Below are 23,629 nucleotides of genomic sequence, written 5' to 3'. Positions count from 1 at the left end.
TGCTTCTAGCTCTGGAGTTTTGCAAAGTTCTCAACTCTTTGGCCAAATATTGATCTATTCATTTGTAAAAGGAAACTATCTAAAATTTGGGAAAGAATCACTAGAGAGACAGAAGCAGAAAAATTCTGGAGCTCACAAAGGGGAAATAGTTTGTATTTGAACCAGCTAGAGTGCAAGGTCCTCATAATACATAGAACATCAGGAATAATCTTCAGAAGAGTGTCACAATATAAATAAGGCTAAATTCATCCTAAAATAAAAGTGACTCTGCTCTTAAAGCTTAAAAACAAGACTTGACAGGATCCAACTCATTCCAAGTAGCTTAACTGTCAGAACAAAATTCAGTACTATTTAAAAGAATACAACAAAATTGCATAACATACAATGCCAGATTTACAATGTCCAGGATCTAACAACAACAACAACAACAAAAATCACTATTCATAAAAAGAAGATAGAAAATACAAACTGTAGCCAGGTGCGGTGGCTCAGGCCTGTAATCCCAGCACTTTGGGAGGCTAAGGTGGGTGGATCACTTGAGGTCAGGAGTCTGAGACCAGCCTGGCCAACATGGTGAAACCCTGACTCTACTAAAAATACAAAAATTAGCCAGGCATCGTGGCAGGCACCTGTAGTCCCAGCTACTCGGAATGCTGAAGCAGGAAAACAGCTTGACCCCAGGAGGTGGAGGTTGCAGTGAGCAGGGATAGCACCACTGCACTCCACCTAGGCAACAGAGCAAGACTCTGTCAAAAAAAAAAAAAGAAAGAAAGAAAGAAAGAAAGAAGAAAGAAAATAGAAAATATGAACTGTAGCAAAGTGAAAAACCAACCAATAGAAACAGACCCCAAAATCAAATGTGATGGAACCAGCATCAAGACCATTAGGACAGCAATTATAAATAATCCATATAGTCAAGAAGGTAGGGGAAAATGTGGTATGTAGATAAATGAAAGATATAAAAGACATAAAGGAAATTTACAATCTCTGAGATGAAAACTGAGTGAGAATATAGTAGACACTGCAGAAATGAAGATTAGTAAACTTGAAGGCACAGCATAGGAAATTTTGCAAAATGAAGCAGAAAAAGAAAAAAAATCTTTAAAAAATGTAAGGACAATATAAAGCAGTAATGTGTGTCTGTGACCCAGAAAAAAGAACAGAAAAAAATATTTAAAGAAGTAATACCTGAAATATTTCCAAATTTAAGAAAAACTATATACATACAAATCTATGAACCTCATTGCACCCCAAGAAAAACAAACCTAAAGAAAACTCCACCAAAGTACATCATAATGAAAGTGATGAAAGCCAGTGATAAACAGAACATCTTAAAAGTAGCCAGAGGAGAAAGGACCTATAAACCTCCAGAGAAAGATGATAGGAGAAGATTTTTAGTGGGAAAGTATACAAGGCAGAAAACAATGGGGTGATATCTTTAAGAAATGGAAAAAACAATGTCAACGAAGAGATACATACCTAGTAAAAATATCTTTCTTAAATGAAAGCAAAATAAGACAGAAAAAAGAGAATTCATATTGCTGATAAATTAAAGAACTGTTAACTATAGTTCATTAGGCAGAAGGAAATAATACCAGATGTAAATATAGCTCTATACAAAGAAACGAAGAATGATACAATGGGAAAGAATGGGTACATTTTTAAAACAACTTTTTAAATTAATTTTGGAATTTCTTTAAACAAATAATTGACTCTTTAAAGCAAAATCAATGATTATATATTGTGAGGTTTATACCCTATGTAGTAAAATGCACAACAATAGCACAAAGAATAAGAGAGGGAAATGGAAGCATAATATGAAAATGTTCTTATACTATACATGAAGTGGTATACTATTATCTTAAGGTAAAGTGTTATAAGTAGAAAATATATATTGTAAACCCCTAGAGCAAATGCTAGTAATGATAAGAATACAAAATAAATAAAACAGATTTGGCTAATAAGACATTAGTGGGGAAAAATGGAAATCTTAAAAATAAAAATCCAAGTGAAGACAGGGAAAGAGGTAAAAAGAACAAAGAACAGATAGGGCAAATAAAAAAGACCAAGACAGTAGATGTACCTTACCATATTGATAATTACATTGAATATAAATGGCCTAAACACCCTAATTAAAAGAAAAGATTATCAAATTAAATTTTAAAATGTAAGACACAACTATATGCTACCTAAAGCAACCAACTTTAAATGTAAAGACACAGATAAGTTGAAAGTAAATTGATGGAAAAAGCTATACTATCTAATCACAAAATTATGAATAAAAAGCTGGAGCTGGCAATACTGATATCAGTCAAAGTAGATTTAAGAAAAAGGATTATTACTAGGAATAAACAGCAACATTTCATATTGATAAAAGGGTCAGTTCATCGCAAACACATGAAATCCTCAATATGTAGGCACCTAATAACAAAGCTTTGGATACAGAAAACAAAAGCTGATAGAACTGAAAGAACTAAAAGATATCCACAATTATACTTCCAGATTTTGGTACTCATCTCTCAGTAGCTGATATAACAAGCAGGCATAGCTGGGCACAGTGGCTCATGTCTGTAATCCCAGCACTTTGGGAGGCCAACATAGGAGGATTGCTTGAGTCCAGGAATTTTGAGACCAGCCTGGCAACATAGCAAGACCCTGTGTCCACAAAAAGAAAAAAAAGGTAGGCAGAAAATCAGTACATATATAGAAGATTTGAACACATTTATCAAATAATAGACCTAATTCATATTTTTAGAACACTCCACCCTACAACAGCAAAATACACATTCTTCTTAAGTACAAGTAAAATTTCACCAAGGTAATCTATAATATGGGCCATAAAACTAGTCTCAATAAACTTAAAAAGATTGGAATTATATACATTATATTCTCTGACTATAACAGAATCAAACTGGAAATAAATAACTGAAAGATCTTTGGAAATTCTCCGTATATTTGAAGAATAAACCATATACTTCTATACAACCTATAGGGAAAATAAGAAACCACAAGAAATATTTGGAAGTATTCTGAACTGAATGAAAATGAAAACACAACATATAAAAATATATGCAATGAAGTTACAGTAGTGTTTAGAGAGAAATGTATACCATTAACTGCTTACATTAGAAAGATGGAAGGTCTCAAATCAATTGTCTAATTTTTCACCTTAACAAACTAGAAAAAGAAGAGCAAGTTAAACCCCAAAGATGCAAAAGATAAAAAATAATGAAAAGCAGAAGTCAACGAGACTGTTGTGGGGTGTGGGGAGGGGGGAGGGATAGCATTAGGAGATATACCTAATGCTAAAAGACGAGTTAATGGGTGCAGCACACCAACATGGCACATGTATACATATGTAACAAACCTGCACATTGTGTATACGTACCCTAAAACTTAAAGTATAATAATAATAAAATTAAAAAAAAAGAAAGCAGGAAAATAAGAAACAATAAAATCAAAAATCCAATTCTTTGAAAAGATCAATAAAATTGGCAAATAAAAATCAGAAAAGGAGGGAAAAAACCCACATAATCATTATCAGGAATTAAAGCAGGGACAGCAGTACAGAGTCTACAGATTGTAAAGTGATGATAAGAAGATGTTATAGAATGTTATGCACAAATTTATGCCAATAAATGAAACAACATGGATGAAATAGATTCCTTGAAAGATATATCCTACCAAAGTCACTGAAGAAGAAAGAAACAATGTGAATGCTTGTATTTAACTACTTGAATTCTTAGCTTAAAAATCTTTTTTTTTTTTTTTTTGAGACAGAGTCTTACTCTGTCGCCAAGGCTGGAGTGCAGTGGTGCGATCTTGGCTCACTGCAACCTCTGCTTCTTGGGTTCAAGCAATTCTCTGCCTCAGCCTCCCGAGTAGCTGGGATTGCAGGCACCCACCACCACACCCGGTTAATTTTTGTATTTTTAGTAGAGACGGGGTTTTACCATCTTGGCCAGGCTGGTCTTGAACTCCTGACCTCGTGATCCACCCGCCTCGGCCTCCTAAAGTGCTGGAATTACAGGTGTGAGCCACCGCGCCTGGCCTATACCCCAGAGAAAAATCCAAGCCTAGGTGACTTCACTATTGATTTCTACCAAATATTTTAAGAATAAATAATGAAAATTCTGCAAAAATCTTAGAGAAAATGGAAGGCAAGGGATTACTTCCCTAATTCATTTTATGAGGACAGCATTGCCACAGTATCAAAATCATATAAAGACATTGCAAGGAAAACAAAACAAAACTCTAAAACAATATCCCTTTGCAGAAAGAGATAGAAATATCCTTTTTAAAATTTGGCAATTTGAGCTCAACGTTATAAAAAGGGGATAATCAATCCATTATGACCAATGGGTTCGTTGCAGGACAGTAAACATACACTCAAAAACAATTGTTATATTACACTAATTAAAAAGAAAATCATGATTATTTAAATTGAACTCAGAAAAGATATTTGACAACATTCAACATTCATTTTTTTGTAAAGTCTCACAAACTAGGAATGAAAGGAAACTTTACCTGATAAAGCCTATAGCTTATATCATACATCATGTGAAAGATGGCATCCTAGCCAATACAATAAGATATGTAAAAGAAAAGCATAAAGATTGGGGAAAAGGCAGCAAGAGAGAAGCAACTCATCACATACAAGGGATCCTCAATAAGATTAATAGTTGGTTTAGTCAGAAATCATTGAGGCCGGAAGGCAATGGGATGAGATATTCAAAGTACTCCAAAAAAAAAAAAAAAAAAAAACCTGTCAATGAAAACTGATAAAACCGTTCCTCAAAAATGAAGAAGGCCGGGCGTGGTGGCTCACGCCTGTAATCCCAGCACTTTGGGAGGCCGAGGCAGGTGGATCACGAGGTCAGGAGTTCGAGACCAGCCTAACATGGTGAAACCCTGTCTCTACTAAAAATACAAAAATTAGCCGAGTGTGGTGGCACGCACCTGTAATCCTAGCTACTCAGGAGGCTGAGGCAGGAGAATCCCTTGAACCCAGGAGGTGGAGATTACAGTGAGCTGAGATTGTACCACTGCACTCTAGCCTGGGCAATAGAGCAAGACTCTATTTCAAAAAAAAAAAAAAAAGAAGAAATTACGATATCCCCAGATAAGCATAAACAAACTTTTCCCTAACCTGTGCTACAATAAATGCTAGAGCGAGTCCTTCAGGCTGAAATGAAAGGACACCAGAGGGTGATTTCATAATAATAATAAACTTATCAGAAAGATATAATAACCTAATAAGTATGTCTCTAGTAACAGACCTTCAAAACGTATGAATGAAAAATTGGCTGGGCACGGTGGCTCACACCTGTAATCCCAGCACTTTGGGAGGCTGAGGTGGGCAGATCACTTGAGGTCAGGAGTTTGAGACCAGCCTGGCCAACATGATGAAACCCTGTCTCTACTAAAAATAATACAAATATTAGCCAGGTATGGTGGTGGGCACCTGTAATCTCAGCTTCTCGGGAGGCTGAGGAATGAACATGACTTGAACCTGGGAGGCAGAGGTTTCAGTGAGCCAAGATCATGCCACTGTACTCCAGCCTGGGCTACCAAGTGAGACGCTGTCAAAAAAAAAAAAAGTATGAATGAAAAATGGAGAGAACTAAAAGATCAAATAGACAAATTCACAACTGTAGTTTGTATTTTAACATCACCTTCTCAATAATTGACAGAATGCATAGAAAATAAAAAAAGTTTATAGAACCACATAAGATCTGAAGAATTCATGTTCTATTTAAGTACGCATGGAATATTTAGCAAGTTGACCATATGCTAAGTCATAAAAGAAATCTTAATAAATTTAAAAGCATTTGAAATACAGGTTATTTCATATTATATATGTTTTCTCACTAAGCAGAATCAAACTAGAAATGAAAACAAAGTTTTCTGGAAAACTTTCCAAATACTTGGAAGTTAAACAAAACACTTCTGAAAATCTCATAGGTCAAATAATATACCACAATGGAAATTAGAAAATATTTTGAACAGAATAATAATAAAGTCTATTGCAAAATCTGTGGAATATAGTAAAAGCAGTACTAAGAGGGATTTCTCTCTCTCTTTTTTTTCTTTTTTTTGAGACAGGGTTTCGCTCTTGTTGCCCAGGCTGGAGTGCAATGGCGCGATCTTGGCTCACTTTAACCTCCGCCTCTGGAGTTGAAGCGATTCTCCTGCCTAAGCCTCCCGAGTAGCTGGGATTATAGGCGCCGGCCACCACACCTGGCTAATTTTTTGCATTTTTAGTAGAGACAGGGTTTCACCATGTTGGTCAGGTTGCTCTCAAAACTCCTGACCTCAAGTAATCCACCTGCCTCGGCCTCCCAAAGTGCTGGGATTACAGGTGTGAGCCACCGTGCCCACCCTAAGAGGGATTTTTAAAACTTCAAAGGCCTATATTAGAAAAAAGTGTTAAATCAATGATCTAAGTTTCTACTTCAGGAAGGAAAAAAAGAGAGCAAATTAAGCCCAAAGTGGAAAGAAGAAAAAGTGAATAAACAATAAAGAAAATTGACAATTTAAAAAGCTGGTTCTTTGAACAAATTAATAAAATAACTCTCCTAGCAAGACCTTTTATTTTTAAAGAAAACATAATTTAGCAACATCAGGAACTTAAAAAGAGATGTCATTATGATTCTATGTACATTAAAGGGTAATAAGAGAATAGTATGAACAACTTTATATGGATACATCTGACAAATGAAATGGATGCATTTCTTGAAAAATGCAACTTGTTGAAAACAACTTACCAAAATGGAACCAAAATGAAATAGAAAATCAGAATCTCCTATTTCTATTAAATAAATGCACTTGTTACCAAAAACGTTTCTACAAATAAAACTCCAGGGCCAGATGGCTTCAGTAGTAAATTCTATCAAACATTTAAGAAAGAAGTAATACCAATATAAATGCCTTCACAAAATAGAGGAGGTCAGAACACTTCCCAACTCCTCATGTGAGCATAATCATGTTACTAAAACCTGACAAAGACATTACAATAGAAAATTATAGATCAGTATTCACAAGGAACGATTATGGGAAAACCCTTAAGAAATTACTAGCAAATAAAGTCTAGTGATATGTTAAAAGACTAATACATGTTGACCAAATGATTTTATTTCAAAGTTGGATTACCATTAAAAAATGTCAACCAGCATAATTCACATTACCAGAATAAAGGATAAAAATTATGTGACCGTGTCAACAGATGCAGAAAAGAAGCATATGATAAAACTCAGCATCTACTCATGATAAAGACTTTCCTAGCTAATACTGTAAGGCAAAAAAAAAGAAAAAAGAAAAGAAACAGGAGGAAAAAAGATAAGATTGGAAAAGAAGAATTAAACTTTTCATTATTTTCAGATGGCATAATTGTGTATGTAGTAAGCAATTATATCTAAAAAAATCTATAAATAATGAGTATATTTAGCAAGGTTGCAAAATATAACATCAATATACAAAACTAAATTTCTACAAACTAGTAAAAAATTTTGTTAAAAAATTGAAAAATAATAACAATAGTATTTACAATAGCATAAAAAATTAGTTGTTATCTAGGAATAAATTGAAAAAAAAATGTTTGCACAACCTATTGGTGAACTCTATTAAAGAAGACCCAATAAATACAAGTTATATTCTATTCTTGGATGGCATTGCCCCAAATATACAGATCCAGTGAAATTCCAATCAAAATCCAAGCAGTATGTTTTTTTAAAAGAATTCCACAATCATTCTAAAATTCATGTGCAAACACAAAAGACCTAGAATAGTTAAAATAATCTTTCAAAATGAGTAACAAAGTTGGAGTACTTACGCCACTTGATTTCAAGAATTAATACACAGCTATTGCAACCAAGACAGTGTGATATCATATAAGAATAGATAAATTAAATAGTGAAACAGAATAGAGGACCCATAAATATGCCTATACATATATGGACAATTGTTTTTCTACCAAGAATGCTAATTTAATTTAATGAACAAAAAGAAAATAATCTCTTCAGAAAATATTGCCAAAACAGCTGGTTATCCATATGTTTAAAAAATAATGTTTACCACTACCTCATTCCATACACAAAAATTAATTTAAGAACCATCATCGACCTAAAGGTAAAAGCTAAAACAATAAAATGTCCAAAAGAAAACATAAGACAATATCTTTGTGACCTGTGGCAAAGATTTACTAGAAAGTATGATACAATACTAAGTATAAAACATAAAAATGGATACAAAAGACCTCAGCAAAATTTAAAATTTTTGCATATCAAAATATTATATTAAGGAAATGAAGTTCTAAAGCATATGCTGGGAAAAATGTTTGTAACAAACATATCTGGCAAAGGAATTATATCCAGAATACATAAAGAACTCCTCTAAATTAATAATTTTTAAAAGCAGAATATATAAAGAAAACTCTTCTAAATTAAATTTTTTAAATATTATCTGATTAACAATAAATAGAAATAATTTTAAAGTGGCCAAGATGTGGCCAAGATACTAGAAGGGATATTTTACAGAAAGAAGAAATAATATATTAAATGTGGCCAATAATCACACGAAACATGCTCAAAATCATTAGTCAGCGAGTATATGCAAACTAAAACCACAGCTAGATACCATTTCATGCTCACCAAAATAGCTAAAATAAGAAGACCTACAATACCAAATATCAGAGAAGTTGTGGAGTCATTAAAATCCACATAGAGGCCTGGTGCGGTGGCTCACGCCTGTAATCCCAGCACTTTGGGAGGCTGAGGCGGGTGGATCACGAGGTCAGGAGATCCAGACCATCCTTGCTAACACGGTAAAACCCCGTCTCTACTAAAAATACAAATAATTAGCCAGGCATGGTGGTATATGCCTGTAATCCCAGCTACTCAGGAGGCTGAGGCAGGAGAATTGCTTGAACCTGGGAGGCAGAGGTTGCGGTGAGCCGAGATCATGTTACCGCACTCCAGCTTGGGCGACAGAGCGAGACTCCGTCTCAAAAAAAAAAAAAAAATCCATATAGAGCCTGTGGGCCACTATAAGGATTTTGACTTTTATTGCAAGTGATGTGAAAGCCATTGGTATGCTTTGAATGGAGGAGTTAAATGTTCTAACAATATCACTCAGGTGGTTATATTGAGAAGTGACTGAAGGGGTCAAAGGTGGACACAGGGAGACCAGTTAGGAGGCTGCTGCCAGAATCATGACAGAGATGATGATGGCTTGGGTTAGATTGCTAATATGGATATAAACTTACTTCTGGCCATCTCTTCTTTCACACAAAGGAGATAACTGGGTGCTCAACTAACAGCTCTGTCCATTAAAAAGCCTTTCCCTCTTGACTGTCTTTCAAGGTTCATCCTGAATGTGGTATAAAGTAGCTAGCTGTAATCCATTGACAACCTGTACCCACAAACTGAACTAACCCATATGTAAACCAAACTCTAACGTTTTCCTCTTCTTTCAGCGGCTCACACAGAACTCACCTTCCCTACACATGGCCACGTATGCAAGCATGGAGGAGGTGTGCTGGTAAAATCCTGTTGGGTGACAATGGGCTTTTGAGCTACTTGCTCATGCAGCTTACTTATGTTCAGAGCCTTCTGGTTCTGTACATCCCAATGCACAGTTTCTATCTTATAAGGGGTTTCTTTTAGTTCTATTCAACTTTATGAGTTGGTAGGGCTGACAGGGCTCAACTTATAATTGGTTGTATGGATGTGTAGTTAAGTTTATATCCTATGGCAAAGAACTTCATTTCTACCAGGATCCGCTAATATGCCATGTGCTGTTTTTGCTTCAGATGGCACGGCCTTCCTGTAGAATCCCATGGGCCACTACTATAATTTTCCAACTGGGACTTGCCAAAAATTCTATACCACATCTTTTCCCACCATTGACACCATTAATATCATAGCATCTGCTGATTTTATGGCCCATACAGCAGAGCTCTTAGCACTACAGTTTGACCTGCTGCAAAGTCTTTTCCCATTCTGAGCCTCACCCAAAGTTGTGCATGCCAATTAGTAGATGCACCAGAGCAGTATTCTTAGATATGGAATATGTTAACTTCAAAAACCAAAGAGGCTTACCAGGTGCTGTGCTTCCTTCTTTGTGGTGGGGGCTCTAAGCTTCAGCAGCTTGTATTTAAGAGCCCAGCATGCTCTTAAACATTGGGGAGATTCTAAAAAGCTCCACTGAAGTAGCAGGTCCTTAAATCTTCCTTGATTTTATTTCCCACCCTCTGGAGTGCATATATCTTACCAAGGCATCTGGTACATTAGTTAATTCTTGCTTATTCTGCATAGTCTGTGTGATACCATTGATGTAATGGATCAGTGTAACATTCTGTGGATGCTCAAGCTGTCTAGGCATCTTTGGAGTATTACAGAGGGAGAGAGATTAGCATAGCCCCAAGGCAAAATTGTAAATTAAAATAATTATTTCTCATGAGTGTAAACTGTTTCTGATCTTGTTTTATAGGTGGAATGAAAAAGAATGCATTCATCCATCAATGGCCACATACCATGTACCAGAAGCCTTATTAATCTGTTCTAGGGATGACACCACATCTAGTACGGCAGCTGTGATCAGTGATCTTACTTGGTTGAGCTTGCAGTACTCATCAGTTATTCTCCAAGATCCATTTAATTTATAAAGGGGGCATACTGGGTTATTAAATAGATATATTATAGGGAACACCACTCTATATCTTTTAGGCCTTTAAGAGTGGCACCAATCTCTGCCATCCTCCTAGCTCTACCCTGAGATGTAATATTTTGTATTTGCTATCTTGGCAGGGGAAGATGAGAATGTGGCAATTTCAGAGGTCTCCATTTGGCCCTCCCTTCTGTGAGAGTTCTTATCCCAGAGGCCAGGTACCTGATGTAAGTATATCAATTCTAATTGAACACTCAAGGATTGGAGGAATGACGGAATGACCCACTGTGTGTGTACATAGACCTAATGAGCCCATTGAGACCTAGACTTTAGTAAACACTCCATTACATTACCTTGTTGCCGTAAGCCACCACTCCAATAACATTTCAGTGTGAACCCAGATAATGTACCCAATAGTCTTCAAATGTTGGTTTGTTTCTTTCTGCATTGTATATTCACCTGAATAAATGCCCATAGGTCCTTTTGGGGAAGGACTGGGGAGATCATCACAATAGATGTTTGCAGTGGTGTCCTCCCTCCTGGTGTCCTCCCTCCTAGCAACCTCCTAGCAATCTTCAGTCAATGGTTTCTGGATTGGAAAACTGGCTCAGGACTGGACAGTGAGCAGAGGTATGTGGCTTTTTATTGAGGTAACAGTCTTCAGTCTCCTGCGTCTCCATTCTTGCTCTATGTTTTTGGTCATAGAAGTTAAGCAACACCCTTTTGGCTGCCTGTCTATTTTGCCACTAGGAATGCCACGTTCTTTTAATTACTCCCACAACTTCCTATGGGTAAAGCCTTCTTGGCTGCTCTCTGATCTAGCTGGTCATTATGGCAGTTGTGGCTTCCTGACTTCTGGTGGTTAACTGCCACCACCTAGCCACTATTACTCTGGGGTCTCATCATCCCCATGGATGTGAGCAAGCCCCACTCTGTGACTGCCTCTCCTACCATCAGCCCTGACCTACAAAGGAAAGCTACTGCTAAACATTCTAGAGATGCTAATGCCTCTCTCACCAGCTCATTGCAAATGGCTTTGAAGGGTGTGTACTCTGGGTGTTCCTATGTAACATAACCCTTGAGTGTGTCTTCTGAACTTAAATAATATATCTATTCTAACATACCCATTTCCTTCAACCTCTTTATTCCTTCCTGTACTACCAGGGCAACTCAGACATTTTCACTCTAGTGAATGTAGGCTACAGCTTTTTCAGACTTCGAAGAGTGACCCTATTCTTTAGGCTCCTTGCCAGAGTATAAAGTCATATAGCTTCCCTCTTCCTTACCACACACACACACACACACACACACACACACAAAACCCTCAAAGTCAATGAATTATTCCTTATCTAATCAACATTCTGGCTCCCTTGATTAAACACCTCAAAATCTAATCCCAGTGCTACTCCCCGGGCTCCTAATGGTACATGCTAATTTTTGCAATTCTTTTGAGGTAGTTTCTTTGTTCTTTTATAAGGCCTAGGACATCCCTAGCCAGCTTAGGCAGGACAGCCATCAGACAGTGATGTTTGTCAGGCCTCAAGAAGGAGAGAGGGAAAGGGAGGAGAAGAAGGAAAGAAGGAAGGAAAGAAGGAAGGAAGGAAGGAAGGAAAGGAAGGAAGGAAGGGAGAGAGGGAGGGAGGGAGGAAGGGAGGAAGAGAAGAAAGTCAGCTAGTCTTGGACTGAAGTACAGTTCTGAGAAAGTTTTAGCAATGCTGACATAAAGTCCTGGAGCCAAAGTTACTTCAAAGAAGTCTTATGTCTCCTAGATACAGGCCAGCCTTAGGATCTTTGCCATACTTAGTCTTGGCTGGCAAGAGCATGCAGGAAGCATGACCTTGGTCAAACTTGGTAATGGGTTTCAAAGCAAGGCATCATAACTGTCATTCAACCATGTTCTCTGCAATAGGAAATCTGAAAGGCACATCTTTCTGGCTACCACATTTCATCTGGGACATCAGCTGGGGTGACTTAAATGGCTGTGGACTGGCTGTGTATTTCTCTTATGTCTACATGACCACTCCATGGTCAGCTTCTGTGTGGCCTGGAAGTCTCAGGGTAGTTGTGCTTCTTACATAGTAGCTCAGGGACCAAGATTGATTGTGCCAAGAAACCTAGGTGGAGGATATATGTCTTCTTATAACCTTGCCCTGGGCTGTGGACTGAATGTTTATGTTCATTCCCAAATTCATATGTTGAAGCCTAAATCTTCAATGTGATGATTTTTGGAGGTGGGCCTTTGGGAGATAACTGGGTCATGAGGGTGGAGCCCATATAAATGTGATTAGTGCCCTTATAAGTAATGACATGAAAGAGATCATCTCTCTCTCTCCTCACCATGTGAGGATTCAATGAGAAGATAGCCATCTGCAACCTAAGCAGATGGCCCTCACCAGATATCAGATCTGCCAGCATCTTGACCTTGGATTTCCCAGCTTTCAGAACTGTGAGAAATACAGTTCTGTTGCTTAAGCCACTCAGTCTGAATACCACAGTATTCTGTTATAGCAGTCTGAATTAACTAAGACATCCTGGAAACCACGTAGCAGTCTGAATTAACTAAGACATAATGGAAACCATGTAGCATCACTTCCCAGTATTGTGTCAGTCACATAACGTCAGCCTGGATTCAACAGGGGATGGCCTGCACAAGAATTGGGAACTGCCTTGGAGACCAGCTACCACAGTGGGATATATAAGAACACATGTTCTTGTAACATTTTATGTGCCTACTGTAAGTGACTCAGGCCTTTGTACTTTTCACATCATCACTCACCGAATCATTCAATTTGGTCTATCATAATAATGCACGCGTTTTGCATTTTTATTCTTAGGTACTTTACTGTATGTCTGTGAAACTTTTTTTCCCAGTACTTTTCATTCAAATGCTTTTAAACCTATTCCAGATACTCATTTGTTATCTATAAAATTTTTATTGTTTACAAAGGATTTCAATATCTAAATATTGTAGGCTACTTGGAGAAAAAGTATGATACTATTTTAAAAATAAAAGAAACCGTACAGTTGAAGGAATCCCTACCAACAAAGTCCCAATGGGAATTCCCTTCCTAAAAAGCCGAAAGCCTGTCTTCGAATGTTTTTCATGACTCAACCGCTATTTGTTTTCATTTTCCCTGGGCATAAAATGACCTTTTGAAAAAAAGTTTATTGAAGTTGTTTATAGACATATTTCCTAGTCCAATAGTAATAAACATCATTTCTGGTGTAAATTGTTTTTAAGAAGAAATGTGTAGGACATTTGGTATTTGTTCGTCTTAACCTACCTTTCTTACTCCAACAACTGTCTTTGGGCAAGGGTGGCTTTGGTAAAGGTGAGAAGGAGGAGCTTTCCAAAAAAACCACACACATTCCCTCATAAAAATAAAACTAGGAGTCTTGGTTTAAGTCCAGCCAGGTTGGCTGCTCAAATAAATTCATGATCAGTCTTTAACATGGCTCTAATGTATCTCTCCCATCTCTTGTCCCAGCAGAATTCCAGTCAAGCTTTCCCCAAGCAAAGGATTTACTCACACTGGTGCAGACCTGGTTTGAAACATTTTATTGGCAACACTGATGTCATATTTAGGAACCATAGACTTTTGTCAGACTGTGTTAGCTTCAGTGAGAAGTATTAGTGGTCAATGATATTTGAAATATTGTTAAAGTACCCAGAAATAATAGGCATTAAAATTCATTTCGTTCACTGCAAGAAACCTCTAAAGATTTCATGTCTTCAGTGGAACTGGCATACTGTAATTGCTATGTGGAACTTAATATAACCTCAACAGCAGCAGAGAGAATACAGTCCTCTCATTATGCACATGCTCTAGGATCATTTATTTTAATGCTTTCAAATAAATACGTTCCATGCAGCACACTACAATAAATAAGGAGCAGCAATGTTCTTCTAGTAAATCCATTCATAATGTGAGTCACCATGTAAAACACCACGTCTCAAGTCTTTGGCCCTGTACCATAATATGAGGAACACCACATCTGCACCCAATCATATCTGGCTTCATATGGATTTAATAGGACTATGCCAGGAGTGCATGTAAGCACAAATTTAACCAGAGGTTTCCAGCTATTAAATACAGCTACAAAGTAGTTAAAAGGCAGCAACTTAACCCATAACCCCCTTCTCTTCATTTTTGAGACAGAAATATAAAGATAGAAATGCTGTGGTGAATTTTGGGTCAGTGGAAAGCATGATGGGACACATTTAGAATACTTGGAGCAAAGCTGGCACAATATGGCACCCAAAATATCACAGCAATACTGATACTGAATGGACACCGAATACAAGAGACTTGACTGCAGACGCTGAGCTCTAGGACACAAAGGTGGGGGCTGCAGTGGGGGTGGCTCATTTCCACTAGGCAGATAACTCAACAGTGCCTTCCTCCTCGCTATCAGCTCTGTTAGCACGAATTTCCACAAGGGTCCTGGCAAATCGGGTCCATTCATCATTGTGGGGAACTGCAAGCTGCAAAGCAAATCAATGGAGAAATGATGAACAAGATATCTTTCATGTCTGAAAGCCTTGAAGCCTGAATGACTGTCCCTTTGCCCCCACACCCTCCAAAGCAGATGTTTCCCTTGGAATGTAAAGGAAATCAAACATTCTTCTTTGGATCAAGCAGGGCCTGAGGTGTTGCTCTTAAACTAACAAGAGAACCATGTCACTCTTGGAAGCAAAAGCACTCACATAATTTATAAAACTTTAAAAACCTATGCAAACTATACAATTACAGTAGCCACATCAAAGTGCTTTTAGTAATGAAATTTTTTTCATAAGAAGACCAGACTTACAGTGAACACGCAAATAAAAACTGCATATAATGACCAAGATTTTCAAATAACTGTATATTTTATTCCTAGTCAATGGTATTAATCCTTTTTCTAAAGTGTTGCTGATGGGGCAGTATGAAGGGCAAAAGAATAGCTTATATATACAAAGAAATATTCCTCCTATGAAATAGTACTTGGGCCTTTCCAGTAAGATTTATATGATGATAACTATGAATAGTAGTAATAGTAGCTATTATTTACCAAGAGTTCTGTTCTAAGTACATTACATGCATTAACTCATTCGTCATAATAATCCTATTGTGCCTCACATTCCTATATTAGAGGCACAGAAAGATTAAATAATCTTACCAAGGTTGCATAGCAAGCAAATATAAGTGTCAATGGAATCTGGTTCCAGTATGAGCATCCTTAGCCAGTATGCTATACTGATTCATCAAAAAGGGGGATTTATAAAATTTCCAAAACATCTTCTGTGTACAATTCAGTGAGGAGGAAATTAACGCCTCCTCCAATGCAAACTGAATGTATGAATTTTTGTTAGTCGTTTTAAAGGATAATGATTTCTCCACATAGCATCCAAAAATAAATTGCTTAAAAATATAATGCAAGTATCTGGGATAGAAAAAAAAATTTGAGGATGAGAAACAGGATTTAGTAGAAGTCTGAATGCTTTTCACACAGAATAAAATTCATTTAGATTTTACACGCATTTTCTTGGAGTTTTACGCTATAATATAGTGTAATTTACCTATAGGTACTAGTGCTACACTACACTATCCACATATTCCATAAACATTAAGAACATACAGCCATCTCAATTAATATATTTTTTAATGAAAAAAGAGGAAGCAAATAAACCTAAGCTTTGAGATTGCTTCTACAGCTGGAAAATTTCCCACCACACAGAGCCAAATGATTAGAACTTAAAATTTTTATTACAAGGATAATATTCTCAAATACTATCTGTCCAAGAAAACTTATTGGAAAGTGGCAACTTCATTGTGCAAAGTATATCCTTAAATTAGTGTTCTGGTATTAAGGCTAAATGTTTCAAGAATATAATTCTGGAAATGATATAGAGGCAAGGAAAGTAAGTTCTCTGACTTATTTTGCGAAGTGCAGTACCAATAAGAATTCTTACTTAGTCACATGAATGAGTTTCTGAATGGTTAAATGCTACTATAATTATTGAAATGAATCCAAATTTCTTTGTAGGCAATAACACAAGTTCACAATAGTCTTGAATGATTCTGATACCCTTTTGCTCAGTCTGTTTTCCCTACTTTGGACTCTTTTCCTATATTCCACGATTCTTCATTTTTTTTCTTCAATTTTAGAAAATACTCCACCTGGAAAATGAGGCCCCCAAAATGTACAATACAAACAAGCTCACGAAAACCATAACCAACTAAGGGTTGGTATCACATTTATGTAAAAGAATAGGACCACTATTTCTTTTCCTTCTTCCAACCGCTGAGCAAGCCTTTCCAAAAATAACCATGAAACAAAAGCCCAAGAAGAGACAAAAGCCTAATCATGGTAACACATTTATAACTTTTTCCCATATAAAGTAAGAATCAAGCTAAAGCTAAAATGCCCCATAACTTCATATAACTTTAAATATTGGAGAAAAAAATAGGTCTCAATAATACACAGTACCTTGCTCATAAAGAGCTGAGTTTGGTTCCCAAACATAAAGCTATATTATTAGTTAAAATCGTACAAATTTAAGTTAATACATGATGACCTATGCAATATGTTATTGATAGCCATGTGTAGAAACTATAGACTATTAACAATAAAATAGGTAAATGTATTTACATAGTTTCATGTAGTAGTCATGGCAAGACTGTTCAGAAACGGCCCTAGTAAAGATTATGGAACATTAAGGTTTGAATAAATGTCTACACACAGTTTAGAACAGAAGTGAGTCTCATTTACACTATATAAAATTACACATCTCAAAAATTACATAACTTCATAAAAATGAGTTTTATCAAATTTAAATGTTTCTGTTAAACACACAAAACATAAGCCAGCGAGTGAACTACATGTGACTTTCTTCATGGAGGTGGGAGTAATAGTGCTGTAATACTAACACATGCCCTTAGAAATATAGATTCACCCTCATAAAAGTGTCACAGTAATCTAACACATCTTGTCCTCTTTTTGATCTGCTGAAGTTTCATTTAGACTGGCAAAATGTTTGAAGTTTGTTTTTTAGGGATATTTGTTTTGCCAAGTCTTTTCCTTTTCATGGTATCTTAATTTTCACAGAAATATTTATTTTCTTGCTTCACAAAAATTCTAGAGTAGAACATGATGAAAACACAATTCCTCCTAGAAACTTGAAATCAATTTATCTACCTCATCCTACTATCCTTTTCATCTTGTTGACTGTAAAAATAACCCAAGGTGATTGTAATGTTAGATTTAGAAGGTGAACTGCAGACTGCCCCATTTTTAGAATTAAATATCACCATCAGGAAGTACTTTAAGTATCATCTTAGCTTGAAAGTGTGAATGTGTATTCACAGGCTGTTTCTACACCCAAAGTAATAATTTTTGGCATTAGAATTACTTGTAGGTAAGACCAAACAGGTGTCCTAACAAACAAGAGGGCCAGGGCCACTCTTTTCACTTTGCTGTTTCCATGACTGTAAATGGCATCTGTTTGGACAGAACTGCCCTTCTTACCCTTGGCAGTTCCTGGCTCTTCTCACGTGGTAGTCTCTGATTAGAAATGGCTAGAAAGTAGGCTCAAGAACATAAATGCATTTATGATTTTCTCTAGGAGATTTTTTAATCCAACACTATCTTAATCATTAAATAGGAAAAATCTTTGTTCATGTTTCTTACAGAACAGACTGCTCTCATGTCCTACCTTGCATATAAATGTATTCAATACTCATTCAATCAGCATTGATTGAGTGCCATTTATATGTCAGGCACTGTGTTTGAATTAAAGATACAGTAGTGAATCATTTTGGAATATGAAGACTATGAAATACAGACAAAAATTAATTATGTTTTTTGTAGGTCAAACTGTGTGAATACTGGCATTAAAAAAACTTCACTGACATTAAAAAGTGAATAGCCTAAAATTTACCTTCCTTCAGTGACAACTGTAACATTTCCTGATATCTGTTGTGTGTCAAGCAAGTAACAGGGAGGCAAATGGCATGTTAATAACATTGCTTCAGCATCTCTTCAAGTTTCTATTAAGGCATAAAGGCTAAATCTAGAGTATCACTATGGATTTTTTCTCTGAGAATAATAGCTTAGAATAATTTCCAAACAATTTATGTTTGTGATAGGAAAAAAGATCATAAGTTATTTTGACCAATTAAAAATGTATAGTTCAATTAAGGGAACACCATTAAAAAAAAAAACTTCAAAAATTTCCCAGCATTGTTCTAAGTCAATGTGGATCTGGAAACATTTTCTGCCTCCAGATTCATCTCTGATGAAGTCTGCATCATAGGTTAGGGATGACTCAGATATTCCAACTGCTTCATCGACTGAGTTCACCAACAGCCAGTCCATCTCCTGATTCAATGACTGTTTTCTAATTTTTTGCTAAACATATAAAGCATTTTCATGCCAAAAGTACTTGAGGCTCAGATTCCTGAGATAATAAAATCTTAACTCTAAAAGAGATCACCTTTTATAGATATGATACAATCCCATTTTTACAGCCAATGAAACTAAGGGCAAAGGTAGTTACTGAGGTAGCAATTTGGACATAAGAAAGAGGTAAAATGAACCTCAGATTTGGACAGGAGACTCAAGTCCTGTTCTTATCTTGGTTGCTGGCAACGGTCAGGCACTTACCCTCTCACTGCCTCAATTGTAAAATAAGGATGATGATATCTGACCCATTCATCAACAGAGATGTGGAGAGCATGAGAAAGGTAATCAAAGTAAAGAAAGTACTATGAGTTCATCATGGATTGTCATGCATTCTTTTTCTTTAAATTGTCAGTCAAATTGAACAGCTCCCCAAAATGATACGTTTTGTGGCATGCATACCAATTTTACAGTATTTTTCTGTTTTTTAAAAAAATTTCCTTGGGAATTAATTCTGATTGTTATGTGAGGATGTTAAGAAGCAGGGCGTAGACCTTTCTTTAACAGGTAGGAGAGGACAGTATAGGGAGCTAAATGATTTGCTAAAGACCACATAACCTTCACCTGTTAGTGTGGGGCAATCAAGACTCACCCCTTTGAGAAATGCCAGCATTCCATGACAGAAGGGCAGGCAGGTAATGTGTTTTGAATCACCTGCTCAAAGATTGTAAAGATTGTTTTAAATCTTCTAAGATTCTTGGAAGACAAAAAGTCTACAAGCAAAAGCAAAAGTGCAAAAGTTGTGGAAAAATTCATGAAAATGTATCATTTTAGCCTCCCAGAGCCCCACCACCCAGGCTACCCCACTACTTCTCGGACCATGTCAGGGATCAGTCCCCTCCTCTCTGCCTGAGTGGACTGGAGGCTGCCTCTGAACCCGGTCCCACCTCACCCCTGAAAAACTTATCAGTCTAACCCTTGCTCGCCTTGCCTGGGTGTCCTGTATACCTAAAGGGAGGCACAGACTGTGGAGTAATAACATTTGAGAATGGAGCCAGGGTTGACTTTTTTTCTGCTTCACCAGCCAGATCCTGGTTTCTTTCCCAGATTTGCCATTAACTTGCTGTGTGTCTTTAGGGAATGCATGGTTTTAACACTTCTGATCTTTACTTCCTCATTTGTGTGAAACAAATTGTAAGATCCATCTTCTAGGACTGTATATTAAATAAAACAAAAAAATGTAATAAGCTTAACACAGTGCTTGTACACTATAAACCCTGAATACATGATGTTGTTTTTCCTTCTTAATGTTTATTCCTTTCTTCCAATTTTTTTATTTTCTTTCTTCCTTGCATATTCTCTTTCTTCTTTTCACCTATTTAGAGCTGTACTTTTTTTTTTAGAAGTATACCTTATATTTTATCACATTTTATGTCTGAAATACCCACACAAATAATTTCCTAAGTAGTCAGGCTTTTAATAATAGCTAACTTTCATGAACGGGGGACAGGGAAAGAGTTCTTTCAAATCACAAGAAAAATTCTTTCAGAGTTGCTACTTTCCATTGTTGGTTTAAAAATCAAGTTTAAAATATAAGTATTTATTGTAACTATACACATCCACACACATATGTAGACATGCACATACATATTTTTTATTTTTCACATGTGACTAATACATCCTAATCCAGCTCTTTCCTTGTGGCACTTTCCACAGTGGGATTCTTCATTTTTACCTAAAGTTGTAAGGATTTGTAACTGCTGTACATGCTGTTAAAAAAATCAAATGACTTTTTATAACCAGGGTTAAACATGCAAATATCATTCATGTGTTCCTTTTTATAATCACATGGCTAATAACTATTTTGAATAGTTCTCAGTCAAACCTTCCTCATTTTTTAGTAATTGCAGCTATAATAATTTTAAATAGCTGCATTATCTGCAGTAACTTTCACCATCCCAGTGCAATATTTTTCATAGTAAAAATATCTGTCTCAGGTATTGCTTACTTTAGTTTTCTTTTTTTAAAATCTTGCATAATTAAGACGTTAGAAAAGCGCTCTGATTTCAGTTGGTTTCTCAGATACATGAAGTATGGCCAAGACATTAAGTGAGTAGGACTCTAGGTTTCAAGATAAATATTCCATGGATGTGTGGCTCATCAGCCTCTTTGTAATTTTTCAATTAGATGAAGTAATTTTAAAAAGTGTGTGAGACTATCATGTTAACCATTGATTTCCAAGAGATACACGACAATTCATCTCTGTATTAATCTAAAAATTAAAGTTTTCTGTTAAAAAGATATCTTACAGATTTCCTTTCACTTTAATACACATTATTTTTTAATGCATTTACAGAAAATGTGGAAATGTACATCGGTTTCCACAGAACGACTGCTAACCCCCTCTAAGCTCTAAAAGCCTTTTAAAAAGGACAATTATTAATGGCACCCAAATTCAGGAGATTGTTGACTTACTGGTATACAAATACATGTCTGTGTTCAGAGGAAGCCTGTATTTTTTAGGACAATTCCCTTTACCACACACACAGATGGGAGCAAAGTGGGAGGTAATATGCAATGAAACAGCCACTGAACGACCAAGCATACCCGCTTCACATAAATACAGCCCCACTGTATTTAACTCCCGGGAGAGTCTAGCATCGCAGCTAACAATGGATGAAACCACGGACCAGAATTCCAAGTTAGAATGCAATATACAGAGGGTGTAAATATACTACAGTGTTCTACCACAAAAAGATATATGGTATGTAACTTATTTAGAGCAGTTTCAAAGAAGTCGACAAAGTAGGAGTTACATTAGTCTCTGTACAGCACAGTCTGCTATTACCAGTCAATAGGTACAAATTTCTGTAAAATTAAGCAACATTCTTACCTATGGTGGTCAGATGGTATTTGATTGTTTTTTAATTTCTTTTCATCTGGAAATCCCATCTAAGGGAACCCTCATCCACCCATGAAGCTTCAGACCTCTCTGCCAAAGGTCTCTTCCCTTGTATCTTTAAAGGAGTGGTTTATTTTTACTATTTTTACCACGTTTTTTTTTTACAGTAACACTTTTTAAAAAATCCATTACCACCTAATTAAGGAAAGAAATAAAAGTAGGACATAAAAGTCAAGTAAATAGTAACAAATATGGGTCTCTATCAATTTCAATAAGCCAGCGAATATAGAAGGAAATATATATCCTTCTCCTTAAACACTATCTTAAGAAAGTAACATGTAAAATATTTTTCATGTTAAAATTTAGCATTATAGGAAGCATGACAACATTCTGAAGGTTTTACCTGTGGAAGAAAAACAACAACAAAACAACAACAACAACAACAACAAATATCCGAAGAAAGAGTTAATTCACAAAGACCTAAAGATGAATAGTCTTCTTCACATTTGTATTAAAATCTTATCATCCTTCTTTCCTCAGAAATCTTTTCGCCTTATTTTTTTCCCTACTATTTGGAACAATCTATTTCTCTGCCCAAAAGATGGAGAAAATGCTAAAAACGCTGGTTGATGGGCAATAATGAAAAATAAACTTTCTAAACATGAATAACTTGTTTTCCATAACACAAAAGATCAAGAAAATGGTAGGAAAAAGCAAAAGCATGTGCTACACAAGCTCAACTGTCATATTAGCTACTAAACACATATCCCTTCTTTTCTTGATATTATTAACTATAGGTTTTCTAATAAATTCTTAGCAACCACTGCGTCTAAGCAGTTTTGACAAAAAGAAGGCTTATTGCTAAACACCTTAAAAACATTTACCAAGGTAATAAAAGAAATGTCATTCCCTCCTACTGAATGTTTGGGCACAAAAGAGGTATTTTTATAACGCAGTTCATGATTTACCATATCTATAGTGTCCAAAAAAAGCACAATGAAAAGGAAGCATTTTTCCAGTGGTTTGACAACTGTTTGAATCAACGGTTATGCTTTTATTACACTAGTGGCCAACTGCTCACTTTTAAAAGCACAGGAGGGGAGGGAAACTGGGAAAGAGATTGGGGGGAAGGGTAAGTACTCTTTTCTAAAGATATTTTCTAAATATCCTTTTCTGTGCAACTACAGTTAAGTAATTTTTTTCCTGTGCATCAATCTGTAGCCAACTTGGAGGCTACATCCTGAATGCTCTAAACAATTAAGCTTTCCCTTAATTTTTCCTCAAATTTTCACATGTGAATCATTCATTCACCCATCAAATATTTATTGTGTGCCTATTTTGTGCCAGGCACTTTGCTAGACTGGGTTATTGTGTTTTAATAGACAATTGTCAAATAACCACTTTTTGTACAATTCTGTGGATGTGGTCTTCCAAAGGTTAAAAAAGAAGCTGAGGAATGTGATAATCAAGGGAGGGCTGACAATCTGAATTTTTTTTTTTAAGTCACAAGGGTAACTTTTTTTTTTTTTAAATCATACTAGAAGGTGTTCACTTTCTTATTTATTTATTCACTTTGAAAATATTAGTTTATGTTCACTTTCTATCTAAGGGACCTTAATGCTGAGACCAATACAAATAAAAAATTTAATCTGAATTGAGAAACTATTGGTTGACTATTAG

The 23,629-nt window shown here is 36.1% G+C and overlaps 1 protein-coding gene across 5 annotated transcripts in view, besides 1 other annotated feature; it reads right to left on the bottom strand.

Moving 5' to 3' along the window:
- Nucleotides 1-2,311: 2,311 nt before the first annotated feature.
- The window catches only part of DYNC1I1 (dynein cytoplasmic 1 intermediate chain 1), a 337,769-nt gene continuing 316,451 nt past the window's right edge, over nucleotides 2,312-23,629 (bottom strand). For 4 of the 5 annotated variants that reach the window (NM_004411.5, NM_001278421.2, NM_001135556.2 and 1 more), the window contains one exon: nucleotides 14,210-15,151. In NM_004411.5, coding sequence (NP_004402.1) covers nucleotides 15,041-15,151 — 111 coding nt within the window. In that variant the 3' untranslated portion in view covers nucleotides 14,210-15,040. Of the gene's footprint in view, nucleotides 2,656-14,209; nucleotides 15,152-23,629 lie in introns of those variants that run through there. The other variant, NM_001278422.2, reaches the window with a different exon arrangement.
- Nucleotides 14,266-15,667: an enhancer, noted in NCBI's record as "VISTA enhancer hs2309 and eExon 17 fragment used in the reporter transgenes". NCBI's record gives its function as "enhancer in: limb[3/3]; activates a minimal Hsp68 promoter in anterior limb bud mesenchyme of transgenic mice {active_cell/tissue: limb}" and the evidence as "EXISTENCE:transgenic organism evidence [ECO:0001131][PMID:17130149, PMID:22914741, PMID:22442009]".

This window comes from Homo sapiens, chromosome 7 (assembly GCF_000001405.40).
Source record: "Homo sapiens chromosome 7, GRCh38.p14 Primary Assembly".
Classification (NCBI taxonomy): domain Eukaryota; kingdom Metazoa; phylum Chordata; class Mammalia; order Primates; family Hominidae; genus Homo; species Homo sapiens.
The sequence above is the reverse complement of the archived record's forward strand: the minus strand, read 5'-3'. Positions and strand labels throughout refer to the sequence as shown.